General features: G+C 47.8%; 1 pseudogene across 1 annotated transcript, besides 3 other annotated features; it reads right to left on the reverse strand.

Moving 5' to 3' along the window:
- Positions 11,689 to 11,748: a silencer, noted in NCBI's record as "silent region_17673". NCBI's record gives its function as "represses an Ori minimal core promoter by ATAC-STARR-seq in GM12878 lymphoblastoid cells {active_cell/tissue: GM12878}" and the evidence as "EXISTENCE:reporter gene assay evidence [ECO:0000049][PMID:35858748]".
- Positions 11,909 to 12,492: an enhancer, noted in NCBI's record as "H3K27ac-H3K4me1 hESC enhancer chr6:150312121-150312704 (GRCh37/hg19 assembly coordinates)". NCBI's record gives its function as "activates a minimal SCP1, AML or CMV promoter by ChIP-STARR-seq in primed H9 embryonic stem cells {active_cell/tissue: H9 hESC(primed)}" and the evidence as "EXISTENCE:reporter gene assay evidence [ECO:0000049][PMID:30033119]".
- On the reverse strand, positions 18,943 to 26,128 carry RAET1K (retinoic acid early transcript 1K (pseudogene); annotated as a pseudogene). The gene is made up of 4 exons (NR_024045.2): positions 25,997 to 26,128; positions 21,777 to 22,592; positions 20,990 to 21,118; positions 18,943 to 19,808 (listed from the first exon to the last, which is right to left on the reverse strand). The product of NR_024045.2 is annotated as a retinoic acid early transcript 1K (pseudogene) (transcript).
- Positions 25,500 to 25,589: a silencer, noted in NCBI's record as "silent region_17674". NCBI's record gives its function as "represses an Ori minimal core promoter by ATAC-STARR-seq in GM12878 lymphoblastoid cells {active_cell/tissue: GM12878}" and the evidence as "EXISTENCE:reporter gene assay evidence [ECO:0000049][PMID:35858748]".

Here is a 26,176-nt window from a genome sequence, read left to right on the forward strand (position 1 = left end):
ATGCTGAAGAGAACAAGTAAGTGGGAAGAAAACAAAGGTAGCTGTCCTGAGTTCAGATCTAATCAGTCCAGTGTCTGTGTGTGTGTGTGTGTGTGTGTTTGAGTGAGTGTGAACAAGACCCCCTCATGGAGGGCTCCTCCTGGGGGTGCCTGTGCTCTCCCATCCTCCTCTCCCTTCTCCCTCCTGACTCCTCTTCCTCACTGCACTTGCTTCTGCTCCCCTCCTTGTGGATTTCTCACCAGCCTTGAAACTGCGGGTGTCACTGAGTTTCCAGACCTGGAAAAGTGATCCGGGTTCTCCTTCACCATTTAAACCAACATTTGTATCCTTTCTGAAGGCTGAAGATGAAACCAAAAAGCCCCTGTGAGCACGGTCTCGATCAAACTTTCCCTTCTGGCTGGCCACCTGCCCACCACGTACTGTGTATGTCCAGAGGCCTCCAGCAGATCATGATGACACCATGGACCCAATAGCTCATTCACTGCCTTGATCCCTTTTGTCAACAATTTTACCACCGGTTATTCCTAACATCTTATGCTATTTTCTCTTGGTGTTACCTGATGGAATTTTTGCACTTAAAGTTCTGGCTGACTAAATAAGATATGTCAACATTTTCTTTCTTTTGCTTTTGTTTAGAAAATCAGTTACTTCTTTGAATGATGACCCTGTTCTTCCAAATGATATTGTCAGTAAAACAATCATGTTAGACTTCAGACCTCCAGGGATTCTTTCCATGTCCTGAAAGATAATTTGTTAAATATCTAATAAAAAATTATATTAATGAGTTTCCTTTAGTAATTTGTTGCCCTCTACTGATATTTAAATAAAGAGTTCTATGTACCAAAAACCTACTGAGTTTGGAATTTTGTTGTATTACCCAGTAGAGAATTAATGTTATATCATTTTTCCTCCATGATATGGAGTAATAAATGAGTGATTCTGCTAGATTTTGTGTGGAAACAGAATCTACAAAACATGGCTGAAAAAATCAGAGACAACAAAAATACATGGAAAAATATTTCATGCTCATGGGTTGGAGAATCAATATAGCTAAAATGGTCATACTTCCAAAAGCAATTTATAGATGCAACACTGTCTCTATCAATACCAATGTCATTTTCCACAAAATTAGAAAAATCTAATCTAAAAGTTCTCTGGAATTAAAAAAGAGCCCAAATAGCCAAAACAATCATACGCAAAAAGAACAAAGCCAGAGACATCACATTGCCCGGCTATGGTGCCGGGCGCGGTGGCTCACGCCTGTAATCCCAGCACTTTGGGAGGCTGAGGCGGGCGGATCACGAGGTCAGGAGTTCGAGACCATCCTGGTTAACACGATGAAACCCCGTCTCTACTAAAAATACAAAAAAATTAGCCGGGCGTGATGGTGGGCGCCTGTAGTCCCAGCTACTTGGGAGGCTGAGGCAGGAGAATGGGGTGAACCCGGGAGGCGGAGCTTGGAGTGAGCCGAGATCGCGCCACGGCACTCCAGCCTGGGTGACAGAGCGAGACTCCGTCTCAAAAAAAAAAAAAAAAAAAAAAAAAAATATATATATATATATATATATATATATATATGGCTATGGTGATCAAAACAGAATGGTACTGGTACAAAAATAGACACTTAGATCAGTGGAACAGAATAGAGAGCTCAGAAGGAAACCTTCACACCTACAGCCATCTAACCTTCAACAAAATCAACAAAAATAAGCAATGGGGAAAGACTCTCTATTCAACATATGGTGCTGGGATAACTGGCTAGTCATGTGCAGAGGAATGAAACTGAACCCCTGTCTTTCACCATATATGTAAAATATCTCAACATGGATTAAAGATTTAAATGTACGTCTTAAAACTATAAAAATCCTGGAAGATAACCTAGAAATACCACTCTGGACATAGGACCTGGCAGAGATTTCATGATGAAGACACCAAAAGCAACTGGAACCAAAACCAAAAATTGGCAAATGGGATCTCATTAAACTAAAGAACTTCTGCACAGCAAAAGAAACTAGCAACACAGTAAACAGCCTATAGAGTAGGAGAAATATCTGCAAACTATGCATCTCACAAATGTCTAATATGCAGAATCTACAAGGAGTTTAAACAACTCAACAAGCAAGAAGAAAAAACCCTATTAAAAAGTAAGCAAAGAACATGAACAGACGCTTTTCAAAGAAGACCTGCAAGTGGCGGACAAACATGAACAAATGCTCAATATGAATCATCATCAGAGAAATGCAGATCAAAACCACAGTGAGCTACCATCTCATACCAGTCAAAACGGCAATTCTTTATTTATTTTTTATTTTTATTTTTTTTTGAGACGGAGTCTCGCTGTCTCCCAGGCTGGAGTGCATTGGCGCAATCTTGGCTCACTGCAAGCTCCGCCTCCCGGGTTCACGCCATTCTCCTGCCTCAGCCTCCCGTGTAGCTGAGACTGCAGGCGCCCGCCACCAGGCCCGGCTAATTTTTTGTATGTTTAGTAGAGACGGAGTTTCACGGTGCTAGCCAGGATGGTCTCAATCTCCTGACCTCGTGATCCGCCCGCCTCGGCCTCCCAAAGTACTGGGATTACAGGCGTGAGCCACCGCGCCCGGCCCAAAACGGCAATTCTTAAAAAGTCAAAAAAACCACAGATGTTGGTGAAGCCGAGGAGAAAAAGGAACACTTAGACTCTGTTGCTGGGAAAGCAAACTAGTCCAGCCACTACGGAAAGAAGTTTGGAGATTTCTCAAAGAAGGTAAAATAGAACTACCATTCAACCCAGTAGTCCTGCTGCTGGGGATATATCTAAAGGAAAATAATTTATTCAATCAAATAGACCCATATGTTCATTGCAGTGCTATTCTCATGAGCAAGGACGCAGAACCAATCTAAGTGCCCAGCAGCAGGGGACTGAATGAAGGAAGCGTGGTACGTATGCACCATGGAAATCTATGCAGCCACGAAAGACAACAAAATCATGTCATTTTCAGCAACATGGATGGAGCTGGAGGCCATTATCCTAGGTGACTTAACAGAACAGACAACTGCATTCTGCAGGTTCTCGTTTATAAGAGGAGGGCTAAACATTAAATATATATGAATATAAAGATGGGAACCACAGACACTGGAGATCACTAGACAGGGGAGGGAGGAGGGGCATGTGGGCTGAAGAACCACCCACTGGGTACCGCTTTTACTGTCTGGGTGATGGGATAGTTGGGACCCCAAGCCGCAGCCTCCCACAATTGACCCATGTAACGAACCTGCACGTGTACTCTTTAATCTATAAAAAGAGTTGAAATTAAAAATGAATAAAGAAAATAAAATGACATGAGGCAAAAACAAAAAATGGGTTTAACTGACAGGGGTGAGAGAGAACTCTGCATTATCAACTCTAACCCTGCTCTAAAAAAATAAACTCTAGTCATTTAAAATAAGTGTAAGGTATATGACCATAATGTTATAAAAATTACATATGATTATACCAAAACCCTAACATTAAACACTGTGTAATGGAATTATGGATAATTGCCATCTTGTTATTATACCTTTCTTTTTTGTCCCATTTTCAAGTGACATTTTTTGTTTATCCTCAGGAACTCATTGCTTACAGGGGTCCCCTTCTGTACCTACCACCTTTTCCACTGTCCACCTGAGCCCTTCCTCTGGCCTGGGACTATGGCTTCCTTGGCACTGAAGGCACAAGAGCTACATTCAGCCTCAGGAGAGGATGATGCAGGGTAGGTTGTGGAGGTGGTCTCAGCATTGCAGATGAGTCTAACAGCGCCCAGTCTCCATTGCAGACGGCTGCATTTCTCCACCATGTTAGCTACAACCAAGCCAACCTTGCCCCTTTCTTGTTTGGTTTTTGTCTCACTCTTCCCAACTGCTTCTTGAAAATTCATATTCTTCCACCTAACATTTCTTTCTACTTCTTGACTTCACAATGTACACTGATTTGTTGTGCCCAGAAAACACTGGTCCCACCATGTCGTAAGTTACCATCTAAAGTGTAGTGAATGAATGGACAGGAAAGAGGCCCCTGCCCCAATCACTGCCTCTCATTTATTCACTCACAGGGTAAGTACAGCCTCAGCACCAACAATGGGCTGTGCTGCGGATGCTTCCCTGAGGAAAACAGACAAAATCCCTGCTCCAGTGGGGACAGCAGGTGAACCTAATGAGCAGGGGCATTGCATCGGGTGTAGGAAGGTGACAGATGATTCTGGGGGCGGGGAACAAGGTTGTGGGAAGGAGACTGGGAGGGGACCTCCCAGGTCCTCAGTAGTCTGAACAGGAAGGTCTCTAAAGAAGGTGACATATGAGTCCTGGCTTCAAGGAAGTGAGCATTCCCCGCAGGAGGCAGAGCCCGCGAATATGGCCTTGAGCGGTCCAGGGAAAATCCAGAAGGTGCCTCCGTAACATTTTCAAGACAACCCCAAAACAAAAGAAATACCGAAGAATGTATTTATTAAGTAGTTAGGACCAAGAAAGAAATATTCATGACCTAGCAATTTAATCACCGTTTAAGAAAATATTTCACATGAATTGAAAAAGTAGTATATTTATTTCATTCTCTTTTTTTTTTTTGAGCTGGAAGGGCTGGGTGTCTTTTTCTTTTTGTTTTTCTTTTTTTTGAGCTGGAAGGGCTGGGTGTCTTTTTCTTTTTCTTTTTTTTTTTGAGCTGGAAGGGCTGGGTGTCTTTTTTTTTCTTTTTTTTTTTTGAGCTGGAAGGGCTGGGTGTCATTTTCTTTTTCTTTTTTTTGAGCTGGAAGGGCTGGGTGTCTTTTTTTTTCTTTTTTTTTTTGAGCTGGAAGGGCTGGGTGTCATTTTCTTTTTCTTTTTTTTGAGCTGGAAGGGCTGGGTGTCATTTTCTTTTTCTTTTTTTTTGAGCTGGAAGGGCTGGGTGTCTTTTTCTTTTTTTTTTTTTGAGTGGAAGGGCTGGGTGTCTTTTTTTTTGAGTGGAAGGGCTGGGTGTCTTTTTTTTGAGTGGAAGGGCTGGGTGTCTTTTTTTTTTGAGTGGAAGGGCTGGGTGTCTTTTTTTTTTTTGAGTGGAAGGGCTGGGTGTCTTTTTTTTTTTTTGAGTGGAAGGGCTGGGTGTCTTTTTTTTTTTTCTTTTTTTTTGAGCTGGAAGGGCTGGGTGTCTTTTTCTTTTTCTTTTTTTTGAGCTGGAAGGGCTGGGTGTCTTTTTTTTTTTTGAGCTGGAAGGGCTGGGTGTCTTTTTCTTTTGTTTTTTGAGTGGAAGGGCTGGGTGTCTTTTTCTTTTTTTTTTTTTGAGTGGAAGGGCTGGGTGTCTTTTTTTTTTGAGTGGAAGGGCTGGGTGTCTTTTTCTTTTTCTTTTTTTTGAGCTGGAAGGGCTGGGTGTCATTTTCTTTTTCTTTTTTTTTGAGTGGAAGGGCTGGGTGTCTTTTTCTTTTTCTTTTTTTTTTTTGAGCTGGAAGGGCTGGGTGTCTTTTTTTTTTTTTTTTTTTTGAGCTGGAAGGGCTGGGTGTCATTTATTGACAGCAGTTTATACACATTTGTTTCCTTCCCATGGTTGTTTCCTTCCCAGCACAGGCACAGAGCCCTTGAGAAAGGTAGTCTCTGAACCAGGGAGCCAGGAACGCAGGTCGGACACATCTTTGGCAGGCAAGTTCAGCTCCACCAGGATGCAATCCTTCAAGTTGGAATTCCGTTGGGTATTTGAGAGGGACCACGGTGAGAGGTAGAGAGGGAGTCTCCAACAGGACTCACATCTCAGCCCAAGCCTCCTCATTATCCAAGTCCATACAAGTTTTAGGACGCTGGGGGACAACAATCAGGCCCATCCACCTCAACAGGGGCAGATTCTTCAATCTGTGTCCAGTTCACACACATCTGCTTCTGCCGGTCGCACAGTTCGAGAGAATCAGCCTTATGTTAAGGGACAGACTGCCTCTTCTCTGCCCTTCCCTGGCACCTCTCTTCAGCGGCATCTGTGCAGGAACTGCTGGGAAGATGGACACATAGACACTGGTTACATTTGTTGTGATGCAGTCATTCTGTGCAATATTGTGCAGAGATAAAAAGGAAAAGAATCTGTATGTGTGGGTCTTGGAAGATCTTCAAACTGTTATTTTGGGATAGAATCTGCGTGCAGCAGAGTGCCTATGGGCTTATCTTTGTTATAAAAACCAGCATTGATACGTACACATGTCTGCACTATTAGTAAAGAAAACAGTGTTTCCATAACTTCTTGCCAGTCTGTTTATCCGTTTTAGGAAAAATCAATATAGTTAAAAAGCCATGGTGGCAGGAATTGGTCATCACCAGCCCTGATTCTACACTGCCCTACACATCATCTCAACTGAGGTTGCTGGAGGAACAGGATGTGGAATACAGTCACGTTTCAGAGAGGAACCTAAAGTCAAACTGGACCAGGGGTCTTGCCCCGACCTCTGCCTCTTCACCCAACCCCCACCTGGTCAGGCAGTGACCCTGGAGGGGCTGGGATGATGCTGGGAGGGCCGTGAAATGGGGAGCCAATGGTGAGAGCATGGTGAACACAGAGAGCCCAGACCCCACACCATCTGGGGAGGAACTCATGTGATGCTGGGAGCACTGGGAAGGCAGGGAGCCTGGCTGCAGCACTCACTGTTCCTCTCATCTGGGACCGGATTGGGGTGGATGATGAGAAAAGTTTCCTGAATATCATAGTTTCCAAACCTGGCAGGATGACTCACCCCGGTTGCACTCACAGCCAAGACCCACTCGGCCTCTGGACCAATCTACCGCAGGGGATGGTAAAGTCAGGAGTGTGAATACTACTGAGCCTTCTGCCAGGGCATAAGAAACAGCAAGTGTAGGATGACCAGCAGGAGGCTCAGACTACCCTGCCCTGCACTCTCCCACTTTGAGTGGGGAGGAAGCCTTGAGCCCAGGGGGTTGAGATTTCAGTGAACTATGATCGTGCCACCGCACTCCAGACTGGTGACAGAGCAAGACTCTGTCACACACATGTTCACACACACAAATTAAATTGTGATATAATACATGTAACATGAAAGTTTCCATCTTAACCATTTTTAAATGTAAAAGTATCTTTTTCAAAATGCAGTATTTCCACCTGCCTGAGCAATCCTGGACCTTCTTCACCTGAATTTTTTCTTCCTAAAGCAAGGACCACTTTAAATCAGACTGTATTAGTTTTCAATAGCTGTTGTTACAAATTACTACAAATTTAGTGTTTTAAAACAACATACATTCATCCAGGCACGGTGGCTCACGCCTGTAATCCCACCACTTTGGGAGGCTGAGTTGGGCAGATCACGATGTCAAGAGATCCAGGCCAACATCACGAAACCCCGTCCTACTAATAATACAAAAACTAGCCAGGCATGATGGCATGTGGCTGTAGTCCCAGCTACTCAGGAGGCTGAGGCAGGAGAATCATTTGAACCCGGGAGACGGGGTTGCACTGAGCCGAGATCATGCCGCTGCACTACAGCCTGGTGACAGAGCGAGTCTCTAACTCAAAAACAAAACAAAACAAAACAAAAACACACATTGATTTTCTTAAATTCTCCTATGGTTCTGGAGCTCAGAAGTCTGAATGGTCTTTCGAGGCTAACATCACTGCGCTGTCAGAGCTGTGTTTCTTTGGGAGGCTCTTGGAGAGAACCTGTCTCCTCCTCACCTTTTCCAGCTTCTCCAGCTGCCCACATCCATGACACAGGACCCATTTCCCCACCTTCAAATGGAGCTCCACCAGGCTGGATCCTCAGGGTGCCCTCTGTCTTGTTCTCCCTCTTCTGTCCCCATCTTCCTGTATAAAGATCCTGTGGTTACAATGGACCCCTGGGAAATCCAGAGAATTACCCCATCTCCAGGACAGATGATAAGCAACCTCAGCTCCACCTGCAGCCTTCATTCCCCTTTCCATGTAACCCAGTGCAGAGGTTCCAGGGACTCGGACCTGCATCTTGTCAGGGAGGTGGGGGTGGGGGTGGGATGATTCTGCCCAGGACCCATACCATATACTTTTTATATTTATCATTTTTACAGCACAAAATGCAGGAGGGAGCAGAGCAATACTGGAGAAGAGATTTTTCATCCTATTAAAATTAAGCATGAGGCACACATCTTTGCTCTCAGTACTTTGGGAGGCCAAGTAAGAAATATTGCTTGAGCCCAGGAGGTCAAGGCTACAGTGAGCTATGATCATACCACTGCATGCCAGCCTGGGTCAGCCCAGGAGGTCAAGGCTACAGTGAATTATGATCATTCCACTGCATGCCAGCCTGGGTCACAGAGTGAGACCCTGTTTCAAAAATAAAATAACATAAAATAAGATAAAAAGTTGCTTTTTATCCAATCTAGGTTGTGATAAATTAAGATATTAATTGCTATTCCACAGGAAAACCACTAAGAAAGTAACATTTTAAAAATAATTAAGGGGCCGGGTGTAGTGGCTCATGCCTGTAAACCCAGCACTTTGGGAGGCTGAGGCGGGCAAATCCCCTGAAGTTGGGAGTTTAAGACCAACCTGACCAACATGGAGAAACCCTGTCTCTACTAAAAAATACAATAAATACATATGGAAAAGTAAGAACAAGGTGACAGGTGTAAATTCTGCCTTAGCAATACTTCCATTACCTCTCAAACTATTAAATACTCAAAAGCAAAAGCAGAGGTTGACAGAATGCATTTTATAAATGATCTAAAGATACAATGTAGATCCAAAGATACAAGTCGGTTGAAAGTAAAAGTATAAAAAAGACAAAGCACACCAATAGTAAAGAAAGACAGTTGAAATTGCTATTAACGATTTTTTGTCTGTGTTTCTAGAAACAGGGTCTTGATTTGTTGCCCAGGTTGGTCTTGCTCCTGGGCTCAAACAGTCCTCTGATCTGGGCCTCTCAAAGTACTGGGATTACAGGTGTGAACCACAATGCCCAGCCTGAAATTAATAATATCAAGCAATGTGGTGTTTAAGACAAAAATTTTTTCTGAAACACTCTTTTAAAACTAAATGATTAAAAAGAAAATCACAAAAAATCAGAAAATAAGATAAATTAAAACAAAAACACAGCATATTATAACTTATGAGAAGTAGCTAAAGCAGTCCTTAGAGGGAAATGCATTGCTGTCAGTGTGAATATATTGAGAAAGAGAAAAGAAACAAAGGAGTAATCTCAAATTGAGAACCTAATATTTCACTTGAAGAAACTCAAAAAAGAAGCCATCTACTCAAAATAAACGAACAATGAATAGGAATTAGAATGTAAATAAATGAAGTAGAGAAGAGAAAAACATTGGAGAACTCAACAAAACTGATAGCTGAGTGTTCGAAAAGCTTGGTCATTGGCATTGGAGGTGGCTTTGATGGATTTCTAGAAACAGACCAGGGAGAGGAAAGGAAAAGTAATTCTCAAGAGAGGGAACACTAAGGAGAAAGGTCTGAAAACACAATGACACCCACAGTTTCGAGGCTCGTGAGAAATCCACAGTGAGTGGAGCAGAAGCAAGCGCAGTGAGGAAGAAGAGTCAGGAGGGAGAAGGGAGAGGAGGATGGGAGAGCACAGGCACACCAGCATGACTAGGAGGAGCCCTGTGGGGTGACATTGCTGGGCTGAGATTGAAGGTGAAAGGATGTGACCTGTTTGGCGGCAGTGGGTGGTGAGGGGATTGGGAGGGAAGCGTCTGCTGGGCCCCTGGTTGCAGGTGAGTGCACCAAGTGCAGGGCGAAGTTTAAGGGCAGGGAGCCCTGGGAGTGCGGGAGGGTTTGTGTGGTGGAGAGCCGGTGGGAACAGAGCATCTGTGTTTGTCCGGGATGTGTGTGCTCCTGTTTCTGCGACATCCCCTCCCTCACCTCTGGTCATGCCTGTGTCTTGGTAGCTCAGGCTCCTTCAGCCCCAGGGCGCAGTGGAGGTTCCAGCCTCAACACAGAGTCCCGCCGTGTCCTCTGCCCCCTCCAATCCTCTCGTCCCTCCCATCCTCCTGCTGTTATAGAAGATAGAAAGAAATCATTTACGTAGATAGGGTAAAGAGAGTCCCCGTCAAAAAACTTTCCTCCGAACAAAAAGCACCTCAGAAATTGCTCCCTTTCTAAGCTCAAGCAGTTCAAAGAAATCACTTGGCTTCTAACAAAGAGCATCCTAGAAGATCAGGCTGTAAAACACAGATAAGCACCTCACAGAAGGAGCACATAATAGGCACAGAAGGGGGAGCTTCCTGGATAATGACCGAACTTCACATACAGAAGATGGAAACGGAGCCTCAATGAGCACATTCCTGTCCTTTCTTTTGTTTTCTTTTTTTGAGACGGAGTTTCGCTATTGTCGCCCAGGCTGGAGTGCAGTCGCGCCATCTCGGCTCACCGCAGCCTCTGCCTCCCGGGTTCAAGCGATTCTCCTGCTTCAGCCTCCCAAGTAACTGGGATTACAGGCGCCCGCCACCATGCCCAGCTAATTTTTGCATTTTTAGTAGAGACGGGGTTTCACCATGTTGGCCAGGCTGATATCGAAATCCTGACCTCAGGTGATTCACTGGCCTCAGCCTCCCAATGGGCTGGGATTTCAGACATGAACCACTGCGCCTGGCCCCTGTCCATTTCTTTAGGCACACTGAGATAGGGAAGCCGGAAGCGCGCATGGGGTGGGGATGCCTGCAGCTGCAAGAAGGTGCCTGGGAACAGGCACAGAAACTCTTCATCCTCTTTTGTCACAGGCAGATAAGCAGCGCAGAGCAACACAAACCAAGAGCCTGACTGTATGATCAAAGAATGGGGTGTGGGCTGCTAGAGACTCTGCCCTATGCAGATGGCACACCTGGTCCTAACCGCTTCTTCGGGCCCTATGGAGATAAGACACCCCCTCCTCACTGGCCCATTTATAAAAACTCTGACATTTTTACTACAACCTGGCAACCCGTTCGGGACACCTCTCTGTGACAGAGAGCTGTTCTTTCCTTTCTCCCATAAAACTCCTGCTCCAATCTCACTCCGTGGATTTGCGTCCCCGTCCTTGATTTCCTTGGCCGCGAGACCAAGCATTTATTCCAGGCGACCAGCTGTTTCACTGCCCTTAGTTTCTGGTCTCGTTTCCGCCACTGTGTTTTCTCGGGCCGGGAGAAGCAGTCCCAGGGACGCGACAGGGGCAGAAGGAGCCCTGCGTGGGGAATTGAGAAGGGTGCGGCGCGGTCAGAAAGATCCGTCCTCCGCGACGCCCTCTCCTCTTTCTCCGACCCATTCCTGGAACTCACCGGCTCGCGCCGTCCAGGGACAGTCCTGCAGCAGAAGCAGAGCCAGAATGCAATGAATCAACGTGGGGCCCTCAGCCAGCGCCTTTGGGACCGGGACCTGGCGACGGAATGCCGAGGACACCGGTGTTCGCCGCGCAGGGGAAACTGCGGAGCTTCCCGCTGAGCCGTGTGGGGCTTTGGTCACCCGGGTGGAGCCGAAGCGCGGAGAAAAGTCCTGACGTTTCACTCCTCCTGTCTCCTGCTTCCCATCCTTTCCAGGAGATCATTTCACTTCATTGTTTTGCAAATCTTTTCTCCCATCTGAGCGCTGCTTCTTTATTGTCTTAAATGAGTGTTTCACAAAGAGCACGGATTGGGTTTTGTACTTTTTCTGTGTGGTTGGTTTTTGTGTGTCTGTGGGTGATGAAATCGGGTCGGAGTCGCTCTAAAGTCATTTTTGTCTCTTGCGCGCCTCAGGGAGGATATTAAAGGCTTTTGTGGATTTCAACCGCTAAAGCCTTTCCTCAAAGTTCATTGCGAGGGGTTTCAGTTCCGCCCGGCAGCATCCCTCAGGGTTCTGCGCGCTCCCGTGGCACCGTCTGCGCCCGAGCTCCGGTCCCGTCCCGATTGCCTGATGCCCCGCAGGGAGCGCCCAGCGGCCGCCGATGTCCCACCAGCAGGCACCGGGCGCCTAGCGGGACCCGCGGGCGGAACTGCCTTTGGAAGACGCGTGAGAACTCCACCCCATCGCGGCAGGGGACAGTTATTATCTCCGAGCTTGAGGTGAGGGGAAATCAGAGGCGGCTGATGGTTTCCTCCTACAGCCTGGTGCTGGGCGCGGGGAGGACTTTACACCCAGCTCCTGCCGAGACGTGACCTTACAGCTGGGGTCCTTGGGGCTCCAAAAGTGCGGCTTCCGCGCGGATCCCATTCCTGCTTGCTTTGAGGCTGCTGGTGAGCGGCGCCTGCGCAGGGGAAGTTGTGTGCCCGAGTTGCTTACTTGTGTTTTATTGATCTTCTAGACTGCTCTTGTTAGAAGAGAAGTGATTTCTTTGAACTGCTTGGGGTTAGAAAGAGAGCAATTTCTGAGCTGTTTTTTGTTAGAAGGAAAATTTTTTGCCGTGGACTATTTTTACCCTATCTACCTAAATGATTTCTTTCTTATCTCCTATAACAGCAGGAGGATGGGAGGGACGAGAGGATTGGAGGGGGCCAGAGGACACGGTGGGACTCTATGTTGAGGCTTGAGTCTCTGCTCAGTTAGGTGAGGTTGGACAGAGGTTTGCATCAATGCCTTGAGCCGGCGAGTCTCTCCCCAGTGCTGAGGGCTTTGTGTGTGTGGTGCACTCCTGCCCCTGCCGCACTCAGGCGGGCAGCTGATGTCACCACTGCAGCTCCACTTCCTGCCCGCACAGAACCTCCAGGTCAGCCAAAGATCAGAGATGTGGCCTTCTCAGGTGCTTCCTGGGCACGTGCCAGCCCCTATGCACATCTCATTCCCCAAATCTTTCTCTCAATTTCTCCCACTAGCCTCTTGTTTGCCCTACATGCAAACGGTGAGGTTGTATAGTTGGAATGATTGCTTTTAGCCAATGCTCTGAAGATCTGGCTTTTCCCCTAGAAAGAGACCTCAGCAGGTCAAAGGAGGACAAACCCAATGAATGGAGCTTTTCCACTGAGTCCCAGATAGACCAAATAGAGTTCTCTGGGGCTGGGGCTTTTGAATGGCTCCAAGACCAGCGTGCCCCTTCAGCAAGTGGAGACTGTGGCTTTGCAGCTGTCATGGACATGGTGAGTCCAGTGTTTTCTGGGCGTAATAAATCAGCATATATTGTGCAGACAAGAAGTAGAAAGAAATGTTAGGAGGAAGAATATAAAGTTTAAGTACGAAGGGAAGAATTAGAAAAAAAAAAAAAAAACAATGAGGAAAGGGGCAAGGTTGACTTGGTTGTAGCTAACCTGGTGGAGAAACGCAGCCGTCTGCAATAGAGGACCAGAGCTGTTAGGTTCCTCTGCAATGCCGAGACCACCTCCACAACCTGCCCTGCGTCATTCTCTCTCCCGAGGCTGAATGCAGCTCTTGTGCTTTCAGTGCCAAGGAAGCCACAGTCCTAGGCCAGAGGAAGGGCTGAGGTGGACAGTGGAAAAGGAGGAGGTGGGTGCAGAAGGAGAAGGCTGACAGCAAGGATTTCCTGAGGATAAACAAAAAATGTCACTTGAAAATGGAGAAAAAGTAGTAAGGGTATAAAGAAGAAGATGGAAATCATCTGTAATTCCATTATACAGCGTTTAATTTTAGGGTTTTGGCACTTTCATGTATAATTTTTATACAATCAGCATCACAGAACTTATGATTATTTTAAATGACTAGAGTTTATTTTTTTAAGCTGGGTTTGGGTTCATAGTGCAGAGAAAAATGGGGTTAACTCTGGTCAGTTAACCCCATTTTTTTGGCCTTATGTCATTTTATTTTATTTATTCATTTTAATTTCAACCTATATAATTGATTAAAGGGTACACATACAGGTTTGTTGCATGGGTAGATTTTGGGAGGCTGAGGCTTGGTGTCCCAATGATCCCATCGCTCAAACAGTAAACATGGCACCTAACAAGTGTTTTTTTCAGCCCAGGTGCCTCTCCTCTCCCTCCCATCTAGTGATCTCCAGTGTCCATGGTTCATGTGAATTCAATGTTTAGCTGCTAGTTTCCAATGGGAACATGCAGTATGTGGTTTTCTGTTCTTGCATTAGGTTGCTTAGGATAATAGCCTCTAGTTCCATCCATGTTGCTGAAAAGGACATGATTTTCTTGTGTTTCATGGCTGCATAGATTTCCATGGTGTCTATGTACCACATTTTTTTTCATTCAATTCACTGTTGCTGGGCACTTAGATTGATTCTGTGTCCTTGCTGGTGAGAGTAGCACTGTAATGAACATATTGGTGCAGGTGTCTTTTGGATAAAATGAATTCTTTTCCTGTGGATATATCCCGAGTAGTGGGATTGTGGGATTGAATGGTAGTTCTATTTTAAGTTCTTGGAGAAATCTCCAAACTGCTTTCCATAGTGGCTGAACAAGTTTGCTTTCCCACTAACAATGTCTGTTTCTTTTTCTCTGCAGCCTCACCACCATCTCTGACTTTGTGACTGGTAAGAGATGGTAACTCATTGCAGTTTTGATTTGCACTTATCTGATGATTAATGATATTGAGCACTTTTTCATGTTTGTTGGATACTTGTATGTCTTCTTTTGAAAAGTGTCTGCTCATGTCTTTGCCCATTTTTTAATTGGGTTTTTTGTTCTTGCTTGTTGAATTAAGTTCCTTGTAGATTCTGGATATTGGACCTTTGTCAGATGCATAGTTTGCAAATAGTCTTCCCCATTCTACAGGCTGTCTGTTTACTGTGTTGCTAGTTTCTTTTTCTGTGCAGAAGCTCTTTAGTTTAATGAGGCCCCATTTGTTAATTTTTTTTGTTGCAATTGTTTTTAGTGTCTTCTTCATGAAATCTTTGCCAGGCCCTATGTCCGCATTGGTATTTCTTAGGTTATATTCCGGGATTATTACAGTTTTGGTACTTACATTCAAATCTTTCATCCATATCTAGTTATTTTACATATGTGGGAAGAGGTAGGGGTTCAGTTTCATTCTTCCGCATATGGCTGGCCAGATATCCCAGCACTATTTGTCGAATAGGGAGTTTTTCCCCCATTACTCATTTCTGTTGAAGATTAGATGGCTTTAGGTGTGCAGGTTTATTTCTGCGCTCTCTATTTTGTTCCACTCATCTAACTGTCTATTTTTGTACCAGTGTTGGTCTGTGTTGGTCACTGTAGTCTTATAGTATAGTTTGAAGTCTGACAATGTGATGCCTCTGGCTTTGTCCTTTTTGCTTAGGATTTTGACAGTTCGAGCTTCCTTTCTTTTTTTCTTTCTTTCTTTCTTTTTTTTTTGGCTCTAAACAAATTTTAGAATAGATTTTTCTAATTCTGTGAAAAATAATATTGGTATTTTAATAGAGATAGCTTTGCATATATAAATTGTTTTGGGAAGTGTGGCCATTTTAGCTATATTGATTCTTCCAATCAAAGAGCATGAAATATTTTTTCCATTTATTTGTGTTGCCTCTGATTTTTTTCAGCAGTGTTTTGTAGTTCTCTTGTAAAGATCTTTCATCTCTTCAGGTAGATGAACTACTAGGTACTGCACTTTCCTTGTGGCTGTTGTAAATAAGATCGTGTTCTTGCTTTCATTCTCAGCTAGAATGTTGTTGGTGCATAAGAATGCTACTGATTGTGTACATTGATTTGGTATCCTGAAACTTGACTGAATTCATGCATCAGTTCCAGGAGCCTTTTGACAGAGTCTTTCGGGTTTTCTTTTTTTTTTTTTTTTTGAGATGGAGTCTTGCACTGTTGCCCGGGCTGGAGTGCAGTGGTGCGATCTCGGCTCACTCCAAACCTCCACCTCCTGGGTTCAAGCAATTCTCCTGTCTCAGTCTCCCACGTAGCTGGAATTACAGTTGCCCGCCACCACGCCCTGCTAATTTATTTGTATTTTTAGTAGAGATGGGGTTTCACAATATTGGCCAGGCTGGTCTCAAACTCCTGACCTCGTGATCCACCCACTTTGGCCTCCCAAAGCGCTGAGATTACAGGTGTGAGCCACCATGACCAGCCGTCTTTCGGGTTTTCTATGTATGGAATCACATCATGGCAAAGGGAGGTGCTTTGGCTTGTTCTTTTCCTATTTGAATGCCTTTTCTTTTTTTGTCTTGCCTTATTCTTCAGCTAGGATTTTCCTGCTGCCTCCTTCAGGCCTCTGGGGGTTATAACCTCCACGCCAGCTCCCCTTCTGCACCTGGGGTTTTCCTCTGAGCCCCATTCACTCCCACAACTGTCTCTTTCATTCACTTGCTTGCTCAGCCTCCAGCCACCCTTAAATCATGTCAGGTTCACTTGATGAAGGAGAGAAAAACCAACCTCTGTGAGTTTGAAAAGGACTCTGGATTCCTGATAACTGTGTCCTGGGTCCCCGTGGTTGCTGGAGGAGGTGCATAATTGCTAGATCATAGCCATTACAGTCACCTGGCTGCTTCCATTCCCAGCTTCCGTGGGCCTGAGTCTGGTGGCCAGGAGCCTGCAGCAGGGGTGAGGCAGGAGGGCCCAGGTGTGCAGAGATGCCCCTCCTCCTGTCACCTGGCTGTGCTGCCCAGGACTCTCCTGCCAGCTTTTTGTCTTCTTCCTGTTCCCCCAGTCACTGGCCCAGGTCACCCAGCCTCGGGGTGGGGGCTGCCAGGGCCTTTCCCACTGGCCTCCTCCCAGGACTAACCCGGGCTCCTGTCCTCAGCCCTATGCATGGGAGGCTCTTCTCACACACAGATCCCGGGACCCACCAAGCTCTGCCCCTCCCAAGTCTGAGAACTGCCCACCCCCGTGTGTCTGTTGTTCTCCAGACCACCCTTCATGTGGCCTCTCCTGGACAGAGGCTCTAGTGCATCAGGCGAGAACCTTCTAGGCTCCTATGTCCCTGCACAGTCACAGAGGTAGCTGCCATCCTATGCCCCTGTCCGGAAGCAGAGACAGGCCCTGGGCTTGGTCCAGGCCTCCTCCTCTTTCCCAAAGCTTCAGGGCCCTAGGGATTGATGGCCACCAGGTGAAGGTGATCCCCACATGAAGACTGTGTGGAGAGGGAGGTCAGTGCTTACTTTTTGTCATTTAATGGGGAAAGGGCTGAGCGGCTGTGGGAAGAGTGGGACTCAGGGGCTCTGCCCAGTCCTCACCCCAGGCTAAGCCCTCCCCACCAGCCAGGGGCCACTGGGCTCTTCATGTCCCTCATATTTCTGCCCACAGGTCTAGATGCCTCCGTGGTGACTGACACGAGGATCTGCTGGGGATTCCTCAGTTGTGGTTAAATGAAGTGACCACATGGATGAACCAAATGGAGAGGAGGTACAGCTGCAGACTCAGGCCTGGGCGACCATCGATGGCTGTGTGGTAAAGCAAGCCCCACGCGGAAGGAGAACCCTCCCTCAGCTCCTGTGCCCATGGAAATCCAACCCTTCACAGATCTGAGTCTCATCTGGATTAGGCCATATATTTAGGTGATGAAGGGACTCTGGGCCTGAGCTGCTTCATTCTCTAGAGGGGCCTGGGGGCTGCCTGCAGAGGAGGAGGGGGCAGGAGAAGCTGCCTGAGGCTGAGGGATGAGAAGGAAATGCCTGGAGGCCCTGGCTTTGCAGGAAGGGGAGGAGCTCTGCAGCCATTTATGGAGGTATTCACATCAATTTCTGAAAAGTAAGTTTTTCTTCAATTTCTATCTTCAACTAGTAAAAGAAATATGAAACAATCAGAATGAACAGAGTGGTTGCAAGCACATTACGGAGAACTTCTCTGCCTGCACTACTTAAGAGTGAGCTGTCACACTGATGCCCCATCTTAATGATGCCACCTTATGCCCCATACTTTACTGTGGTTTCCTTGCAAACCAGGACAATCTCCAGATAACCACTGTGCAAACTCCAAATTAGATTTCACTCCAGACATTACGACCACCTCATGCTCAGATGCCACTCCGGGTTCAGCAATTGTTCTAAGAATGTCTTTAATCACCAGGGAGCTGATATATGTGGGCATTTCCTACCCCCTTATTTTCCTAAATATATACGTTATGGTGTTCTATTTGTCCCAGTGGTAGATCTGTATATTTTTGGAAATATGGAAAGTGATCTAAATTGATGTGATTATTTTTATTGCGTGTAAATCTGCAATCCTCACTAACATGTTGGAAAAGTTTAACATTTTCATCCTGCATTTGGATTGGTTCATTTTTGCCAGTTCAGATTTTGTAGTCTGATGTAGAGCAAAAGAGAAATCTTTCATCAGCATTGAAAAGCATCCTGTACTGTACTAGCATATTTCATTGCTAACTCTTTGCTATGGCAAAGAACAGCACGGTCAGCAGTCTAGTATCTCCATGCTCTCTGGAACGTTTGGAGCCCCGAACTGACTCTGGGATTGCTGGTTAGTGGGATGAGCACAGCGTCCGCTGTCCTGGATACTGCCTGAGTAGACGTCAAAGTAGTGATTCAATCTGGACTCCTACCTACAATGTAAGAAGTCTCTGATATTCCATTTCCTGTCCACCAATTGGTAGAGACAGATTTAAAAAATTATCAGTAGGGTGGGTGTGCAGGGGTAGACCACTGTTCTCTTGATTGTGTCAGAGCTATGAAAGCTTTCACAGGTTTCTTCAGCATCTCTGAACTGCTCAGAGCATTTGCTCAAGAATTAGGTGCACTTTATTAATTTCTAGGAGTTCTTTATATAGTTTGCTCCTGATCTTTCATCTGTGGGGGAATAGAATAACTTTTACAAATAGAGATGCATCTGTGGTGAGGATTTCTTCTACTAGAAGTGAGCGTGGTCAGGGCTGAAGAATGATGAGAAAAGCCACTGCCGAGCGTGGAGTGGGCTGGGGCCAAACCAGAAAGCATCACATTCTGGAAGCAGGGATAGAGGCAGGAATATCTGCCAGCCCCCAGGGCATCAGGACAGTAGTGAAGACTGACAGCCAGGCTGCTTGTAAATAGACTGACAGCCAGCCTGCTTGTAAATTAAGAGTGATCTTTAAAGTCTCTGTTTCCAAAAGATATCTAGCAGCATCCCTAGTTGTATTACTAAAAACAACATGGCAGAATAATGAAATTCCATTAATTCTCTACTGGGTTATAAACCAAAATTCCAAAGTCAATAAGGTTCTTTGAAAATAGACATCTTTATTTAACTATAAATCTAGGCTAATAAATTACTAAATAAAATAATCATGAATGTAATACTTTTCCGTATTAAATAATTTAAAATTTCTACAACAGGCACTGTGGTTCATGCCTGTAATCCCAGAGCATTGGGAGGCCAAGGTGGGAGGATTGCTTGAGGCCAGGAGTTGAAGACTAGCCTGAGCAACATAGGAAGACCCAATCTCTACCTAAAAATAAAACAATGTGCCGGGCATGGTGGCATGCGCTTGTAGTCCCAGCTATTTCTAGAGGCTGAGTCTAGAGGATCACTTGAGCCCAGGAGCTGGAGATTACAGTGAGTGAAGACTATGCCACTTCACTCCAGTATGGTTGACAGGATGAGAAAATGTAAAAAACCATAAAAATAAAAAAAATTAATACAATTCTTGGTCAGTGCATCGAAAGGATCCCTGAGGTCTGAAGTCCAGCATGCACTGGAAGAATAAGCGATACTGTTTGGAAGAATAAGGTCATGCTTCAGAGAAGTGTCTGCTTTTCCACAATCAAAAAAGTAGAAAGAAAATGCTTTTTTGCTGGGATTTCTTGTTCAGTTAAAACTTGTGCAGGAGTTCCATCCATTAGCACCGAGAGAAAGTGGCAGAAGGTGTTAAGAAAAATGGCTGCTGGGATCATGAGCGAAGGTAATGAGTGGCCTGAGATGTTGAGCCGACAATGTCCTCATCATCTGCTGGGGGCCTCTGGGCTTGCTAAGGCTTGAACTCCTGCTTTCCAGAAAGGCACAGTGGTGAGTAGACAGGCGGCCTCCCTGAAGGGAGAGCAGGACCCAGACCAGGCTAACAGAGGCTTCTTGATATCACCTTCCACCTTGAGGAAAGATGATGTGTTGGTTTAAGTGGCTGAGAAAAACCTGGGTCTGTTCTCCTGGGTGATCCCTCCCAGACCCTCCCCATTTTGGAGCCTCTCCCCCAAATAAGGAACATGTTTTTCCCTCCAACCCTACCCCTGGCTCTGTACCCTGTTCCAGCCTCCACCCTCCTTGAGGCTGGGAATGAGGGGTCTGCACGCTCACTCAGGGACTGCTCCACCCTCTCATAGAAGGGTCTAGAGGACCTGGGGGAGCCCTGTCCAAAGAGAGGTCTCTGGATCCATGTTCCCTGGCCTTAGGTGGGCTTGTAGACAAACCACCTTCTTTTCCCTTCACTCTCAGCCTTTCCTCACCCTGGGAGCTGCACCCATAGCTCTGAATGGGACTGTCCTTGCCCTGCCCCATTCATTCCTGGCCAAGCTCAGTGGTGAGCATGGAACTCCAACAGCAGCTTAGCTCCCCTGCCTGAGTCCACTCTGCTCCAGGCAGGGCCATCAGCTGGCTCAGGATCTGGAGTGTGCAAGAGGCGGAATGGCAGGGGCATCGCCCCAGGGCCCAGCAAGGACTCCCATGGGTCCAAGGGGCCTGGCCTTTTCCTAAATCTCACCCTGGACACGCTCTACTCTTCACCTTCCACCTTAACTGCTGGGACCCGAGCTGCTTTCTCTGGGAATGCAGCCTTAGGAACTGGGTGGGCCAAGGCCCTCACAGCTCCCTCATCCTGGGATTCTCCCAGATCACTCTCTTCTTAGCCTCCTCCAGGGACGCCCTTTCCCTTGACATCCTTGGTGAAGCAGCCATGCTGCTCCTCTCCTACTGTGCAGACTGCCCATGCCTGAGTTCCTGCTGCCTGCAGGCCACACACCACTACCCTTCCCGAATAGGAACCTGCTCTGAAACAGGCCTGAAATGGCTAAACTCTCTCAAGCTCAACAGGCCTTGAGCCTTGGTATGGGCCCCTCCCTTTCCCTCTGGTTCTGACAGTGAGAATCCATCAGAACTCAGGGCTGAGCTACCCAGGTCATTGCCAGTAGGTGACACTAGGTCTCATTCATCTGTCTCATGTCAGGATGAGAAGGTCCCAGCCATGGGGATGGGTGGGACTCTGGGAATTCTCCTTCTGCATCCTCCCACCTCACCCATCTGCCTCTTGCTCCCCTCCCAATATTGCCCACATTACCTGTCACTCTAAAGAACTCTCCTCAGATGCCAGGGAGGATAAAGCAGAGGATGATGAGGAGGCTCCAGGGACTGAGGGTGCTGGCCATGGCTTTGGGTTGGGTTGTGCCTGGGGTCAGAGAGGGTGGTTCTGAAATGGAAACACAGGAGTGACAACCCTCGTCCAGGCCCCAAATCTTAGGGGATGCCTCCTCAGCTCCTGCCCCCCTCAACTCATCCTGGAAGAGCTTTTGTCCCACAATGCTGTGAGGAAGCTGCTGTGACCGTTCCTGGGTTGGGAAGGGAGGGGGGTGTCCCCTGTCCTCAGGGAGCTCACACAGCTGCTGAGGGAAGCAAGGTGACAGCACAGCCCACCCTCCTGCTGTGGCGGAAGAGGAGATGATGCCCCAGGGCCAGGGAGGGGAGGGTCTCGGGGCTGGCATTCTAGGTGGTTTCGATGGATATACAGACACAGACAGGGGGAGAGGAAAGGAAAAGTGATTCTAGGAGGAAGGAACACTAATGAAAAAGGTCTAGAAACACTATGACACCCACAGATTTGAGGCTGGTGAGAAATGCACAGTGGGTTGAGCAGAAGCAGGTGCAGTGAGGAAGAGGAGTCGGGGGAAGAAGGGAGAGGAGGATGGAGAGCATAGGTATGCCAGCACCCCCAGGAGGAGCCCCCCATGAGGGGGTCATGTTCACACTCACTTAAACACGCACACGCACACACACACACACACACACTCACACAACGGGCTGATAAGATCTGAACTCAAGAGAGCTGCCTTTTTTCACCTCTCACTTACTTGTTGGATCCAGCATTTGTTCCCAGTATATCAAAAAGTCTTCAAGCCATGTCTTACAATCCCCCATTGAAATGTTATGGAAGAACACGGTCACCTCCTTGTTCTTCTCCCACTTCTCTGTCATCTTCTTGGCTCCAGGATGAAGTGCTGTCTACTTTCTGTTGTTTGAGTCAAAGAGGAGGAAAGTCTGTCCATTGAAGAGGAACTGCCAAGATCCTCTGCCGTGTCCGTGGGCTTCATGCTCACAAGACATCCTGGCCTGCAGAATGAGGGGCTCTGCCCTATTGCAAAGAGATCAGCTCTGATCTTGACAAATCCTGAGCCCCACCCTGCTTCCTTTCCTGGCTCCTGGACTTGCTCTCTCTGCTGCATCCGGCCCATGCTCCTCAACCTCTTGGGTGACACAAACTTCTGATTTATTTTTTACAGGAAACCAATAAATGCCTCTAAGACACTACTGTGTCTGCTCTCTGCTGTCCTGGACTATTTTAAACTTACCGATGGGTATTACATTCTCCATTTCAATGTCAGGCAGTTGCCCTTTGAGGAAATCCCCCACATCTCTTAGTGTTTCAGTTTGTCTTAGTGTGCTTGTGTGGGAGAGAAGGGAGAAATCTCTTAGTGTTTCAGTTTGTTCTTCCCAGGTTTTTGTGACATTTACTTTCTTCCGCAGAGAAGCAAAGGCTTTGGCCTTGTGGTTAACACAGTCATAGTGAAGAAAAGGCCTTTCATCCACCAGGCCTTGAACTTCACACCATCGTGGTTCAGGTCTGAACTTAGGAGTGATGATGAAGTCATAGCAAAGACAGTGTGTGTCTGTGGAAGAAAAACACAGGAGAGGGTTGGTGTGGAGGAAAGTGGAATCTGAGACCCCTCCTCCCCCTTATGGTGACTGCAAATGAAGGCCTCTGAGGGGCTGGGCTGGCAGAGCAAGATGTGCCCCAGCCAAGCCTGTCATGTCAACTAATTAAAGACTAGAGCATCTCCCTTGCTTGAGTACATGGAGGGGAAGGTTCCTGCAGCCATGAAACCACATGTCCCCTCCAGACATGTCTCACCTGCCCTGTGCCAACATCAGTCAGCACATGACCTTGTGGTGGAGGTGCCAGGCCTGTTGTGGCAGGAAAAGGCCTGGATGAGGAGGACCCTCAGCAGCAGCCCATGTGGACTGCAGGAGGTGGGAGAGGGTGTGGGGGCTGCCCTGGGATGCTCCAGCACAGTGGGTGGGGTGAGGGCAGAATTCAGTTTAGATAAGCAAGTGATTATTGTCATGGGTCACATGATTTAACACTTTGGCAAAGCCCGGCGATGACACCCATCTGCTTTGAAGATGCATTCCTGGAACCTTGTAAAGGGATGGTTCACAGGGCAAGAAGTGGAAAATCCAGAACTTCTAAGTCAGGGTGTAGAGGAAAGAGCCAAAAGGCTCAGAGAAGCACCCATGCCAGAGTGGCTGCAGTACGAAAATCCAGAACAATGTCCATCCTCTGTGCTCATGGGAAGCCTGGAGGACTCCTGATTACCCAGCATACAAAGAAGGCCCCAGGAGAAGGCAGCAGTCTATCAGGAAGCCCAGGGATGCCTGTTGCTGAAGGCTGGGGTTGAGGGTAGGAAATGCTGTTCCTGAAACGGGCTCCCAGTAGTAATGGGGATGGAAAATCCTGAAATAAGAGATCTCAAGTGGAGGCCGTCAACTGTCAGGAGGAAGGAGGGGGCAAAGATGGAAATAATTAGAGAAGTCACAATGCCAGGTGGGGACCTCAGTCATACAAAGGTGTGCCCATGGCTCATAGAACAAAGGGGTCAAGAATCCAAAAGAGATGGAAACTCAACCCGGATGCTGCTAGATTTAAATAACTACAACAAACAAAGACAAAACACAAGGATGGATGACCTGGAGGCTGAAAGGAGTCACCCCAGGAAATAACCGAGCTCCTTTGCCCAGCTTTGAGAACTGAGTCACATCTCAGACCCAGAGTCCATTACTAGAAGGAGAGCCCAGAGGCCCTGGTGGGCCCCTTCAACACCACAGCAACTGCAATGACTCCTTCAGCCTCCCCCAGAGAGCCAGATGGGCATTCACTCTGGTAACTGTACACCATGAAACAGCAAATACCCAGACACTTCTGGTGGACACAGTGTGTGATCCAACCTCCTTTCAGAGATCTGAAGCATTAACTTCCTGTTACTCATGAGGTGCATTTGGGGCAAAGTAACGGATGGACACCTGTGTCAGGTCCAGCTTAGGGGGATGTGCTGGGTTCATAGACCCATTCGATGGTAATTTCACATTTCCTGGATTTCTACCGGGAATGGATAGTGTTTGTAGTTAATGTAGTATCTATTATAGGTTGTGCTGGTCATATGACCTCCCCTGTCACTACTCAACTCTGCTCTTGTAGCTGGGATGCAGCCATACACACTCTGTGATGAGGCGTGACGCTGGACCTACCAATATGGCTATTTGACCCTGGACTCCCTAAGATCCCAGAGGCATGTGTGGTTGGAAAAGGTGCTATGTGGATTTCATGGCAATTGCCAACCGCAGAATCACAACAGGATCCCCTAGTGCTCAGAAGCAAGGCTGTGCCACTCACAGCAGTGAAATCCCCTCATTTAAAAGTGGCTCCTGCTGTGGTCCTGGGCCCCTGTGGAGATGGGCCTCCAGCTATGGGAGGGCAGTGACCACACAGCCTCAGAGCTGCCCATCACAGGGTGGGCTCCTCACCCTTTAGGTCATTAGGAAGATAGGCCCCACAGTGAGAAGACACAGGTGGGTCTCCTGGGATGGGCAGGAGCAGGGCCACAGGGAACCAAGAAGCTGCACAGGCAGTTGGCCCCGATCCCCAGGACACCATGTGGCTGTACCGCCTCACCCTCAGCTCACACCTGAGGCTTCAGGGAGGGTCCCTGATTGCCTTGAGGTACCGATGATGCCACCCAGCAGCAAAGGATGGGGGCAGTAGGCCTGGACCCATGGAACCTCCATTCACATCCATCACATCCACACCACCCAGAAGCCACAGGCAGGGTAGGACACACTTGTGACTCTTCAACTTACACAACTTGGAGATGACACCCTAGGGGATGGGGCAGCAATTGCCAGGACACAGCATGTGCCCTCATCTGGGGTCAGCAACCTAGGACAGGGTCCACATCTGCTCTCCCTTTTACTTGCAGGTTACCATTGCCTGCTGTTGCTCTACAAAGGGACAGGACTTGACACACAGACAGAGAACTCACGGCCAGCAAGGACCAAAGTGACTTCAGCCTTTTCTTTCTAGAAAGGGTTTGCTGACTCCTGTCTGCGTAGTGACTATTCTATATGACCCTGGCTCCCCAGTAGGAAGAACAGGCGGGTCTGGGACCCAAGGGCAGAAGTGGGCACCTCTACTCACGGGCGCTCCCAGGGTCATCCTGAGGGAAATGGGATTTCCCGTCCCCCCTGCATTAAGTTCTGTAGAAAGCCTGGGGTGTGTTTGCTGGGGTGTGCCCTCAGGCAAAAGGGGACAAGGTGCTAGTTGGTGTGGGGAGGTGCTAAGGGCCCCTTCATGGATGGGGAGGTGAGGGAGGCCTGTGGGGTGACAGGGCTGGGCTGAGATGGGGAGTGAAAGAATGAGACCTGAGTAGCAGAAGTGAATGGTGAGGAAGTGGTGAATGGTGGGAAGTGTCTGGTGAGCCCCTGGGTGCAGGTGAGTGTCTGCAGCAAATTGCAGGGGAAGTTCCAGGGCGGAGCCCTACAGGTGCTGGAGGGTGGAGAGCGGGTGAGAGCAGAGCATTTCTGTGGTTGGTGGGGGAGTTTGTGATCGCATCCCTGTGGAACCCCGCTTCACCCCTGTCCTGACCCCAGCTAGGGTTTCGGGGGCTCTGGTTTCTTCTTCCCGAGGGCGAGTAGGGCTGCGGAGCTGCATCAGGGATCCCCGCTCCACCCTGCCCTCTGCAGCCCGTTGGCCCCTCCACCCTCCTGTGGTGCCTTTTCCGCGCTCTTTAAAAACCCTCCTGGTCTGCAGTGCAAGCTGCAGCCGCAGGAAGCGGACCCAGCGTAAAGGAGCCGCAGCGGGGAACTCCGGGGGCGGGGGGGCCGATGCTCGGGGAGATCGCGCCGGTCCTTCTAGAAGCTTTCCTTCCTCTGAAACACGCTGCAGTCCACAGCCCGCCAAGTTTGGCCCCAGCCCCCGATTAGGCTCCAGCCCCCGATTAGGCTCCATCCCCGAACTCACCGGCCCGCCCTGACCCGGACCAGCCGGACAGCAGTAGCAGAAGCGGGAAGCACAGAAGAAACGCGGGGCAAGCGGCCGCTGCCATTGGGGACCTGGGGCACAGGGGACGGGAGTCGGGGTCGAGGCGGATATGGGCGGAGGAATCGCCTGGTGCCTCACATTCAGGCTAGTGAATTGGAC

Source organism: Homo sapiens, chromosome 6 (assembly GCF_000001405.40).
Source record: "Homo sapiens chromosome 6, GRCh38.p14 Primary Assembly".
Lineage (NCBI taxonomy): Eukaryota > Metazoa > Chordata > Mammalia > Primates > Hominidae > Homo > Homo sapiens.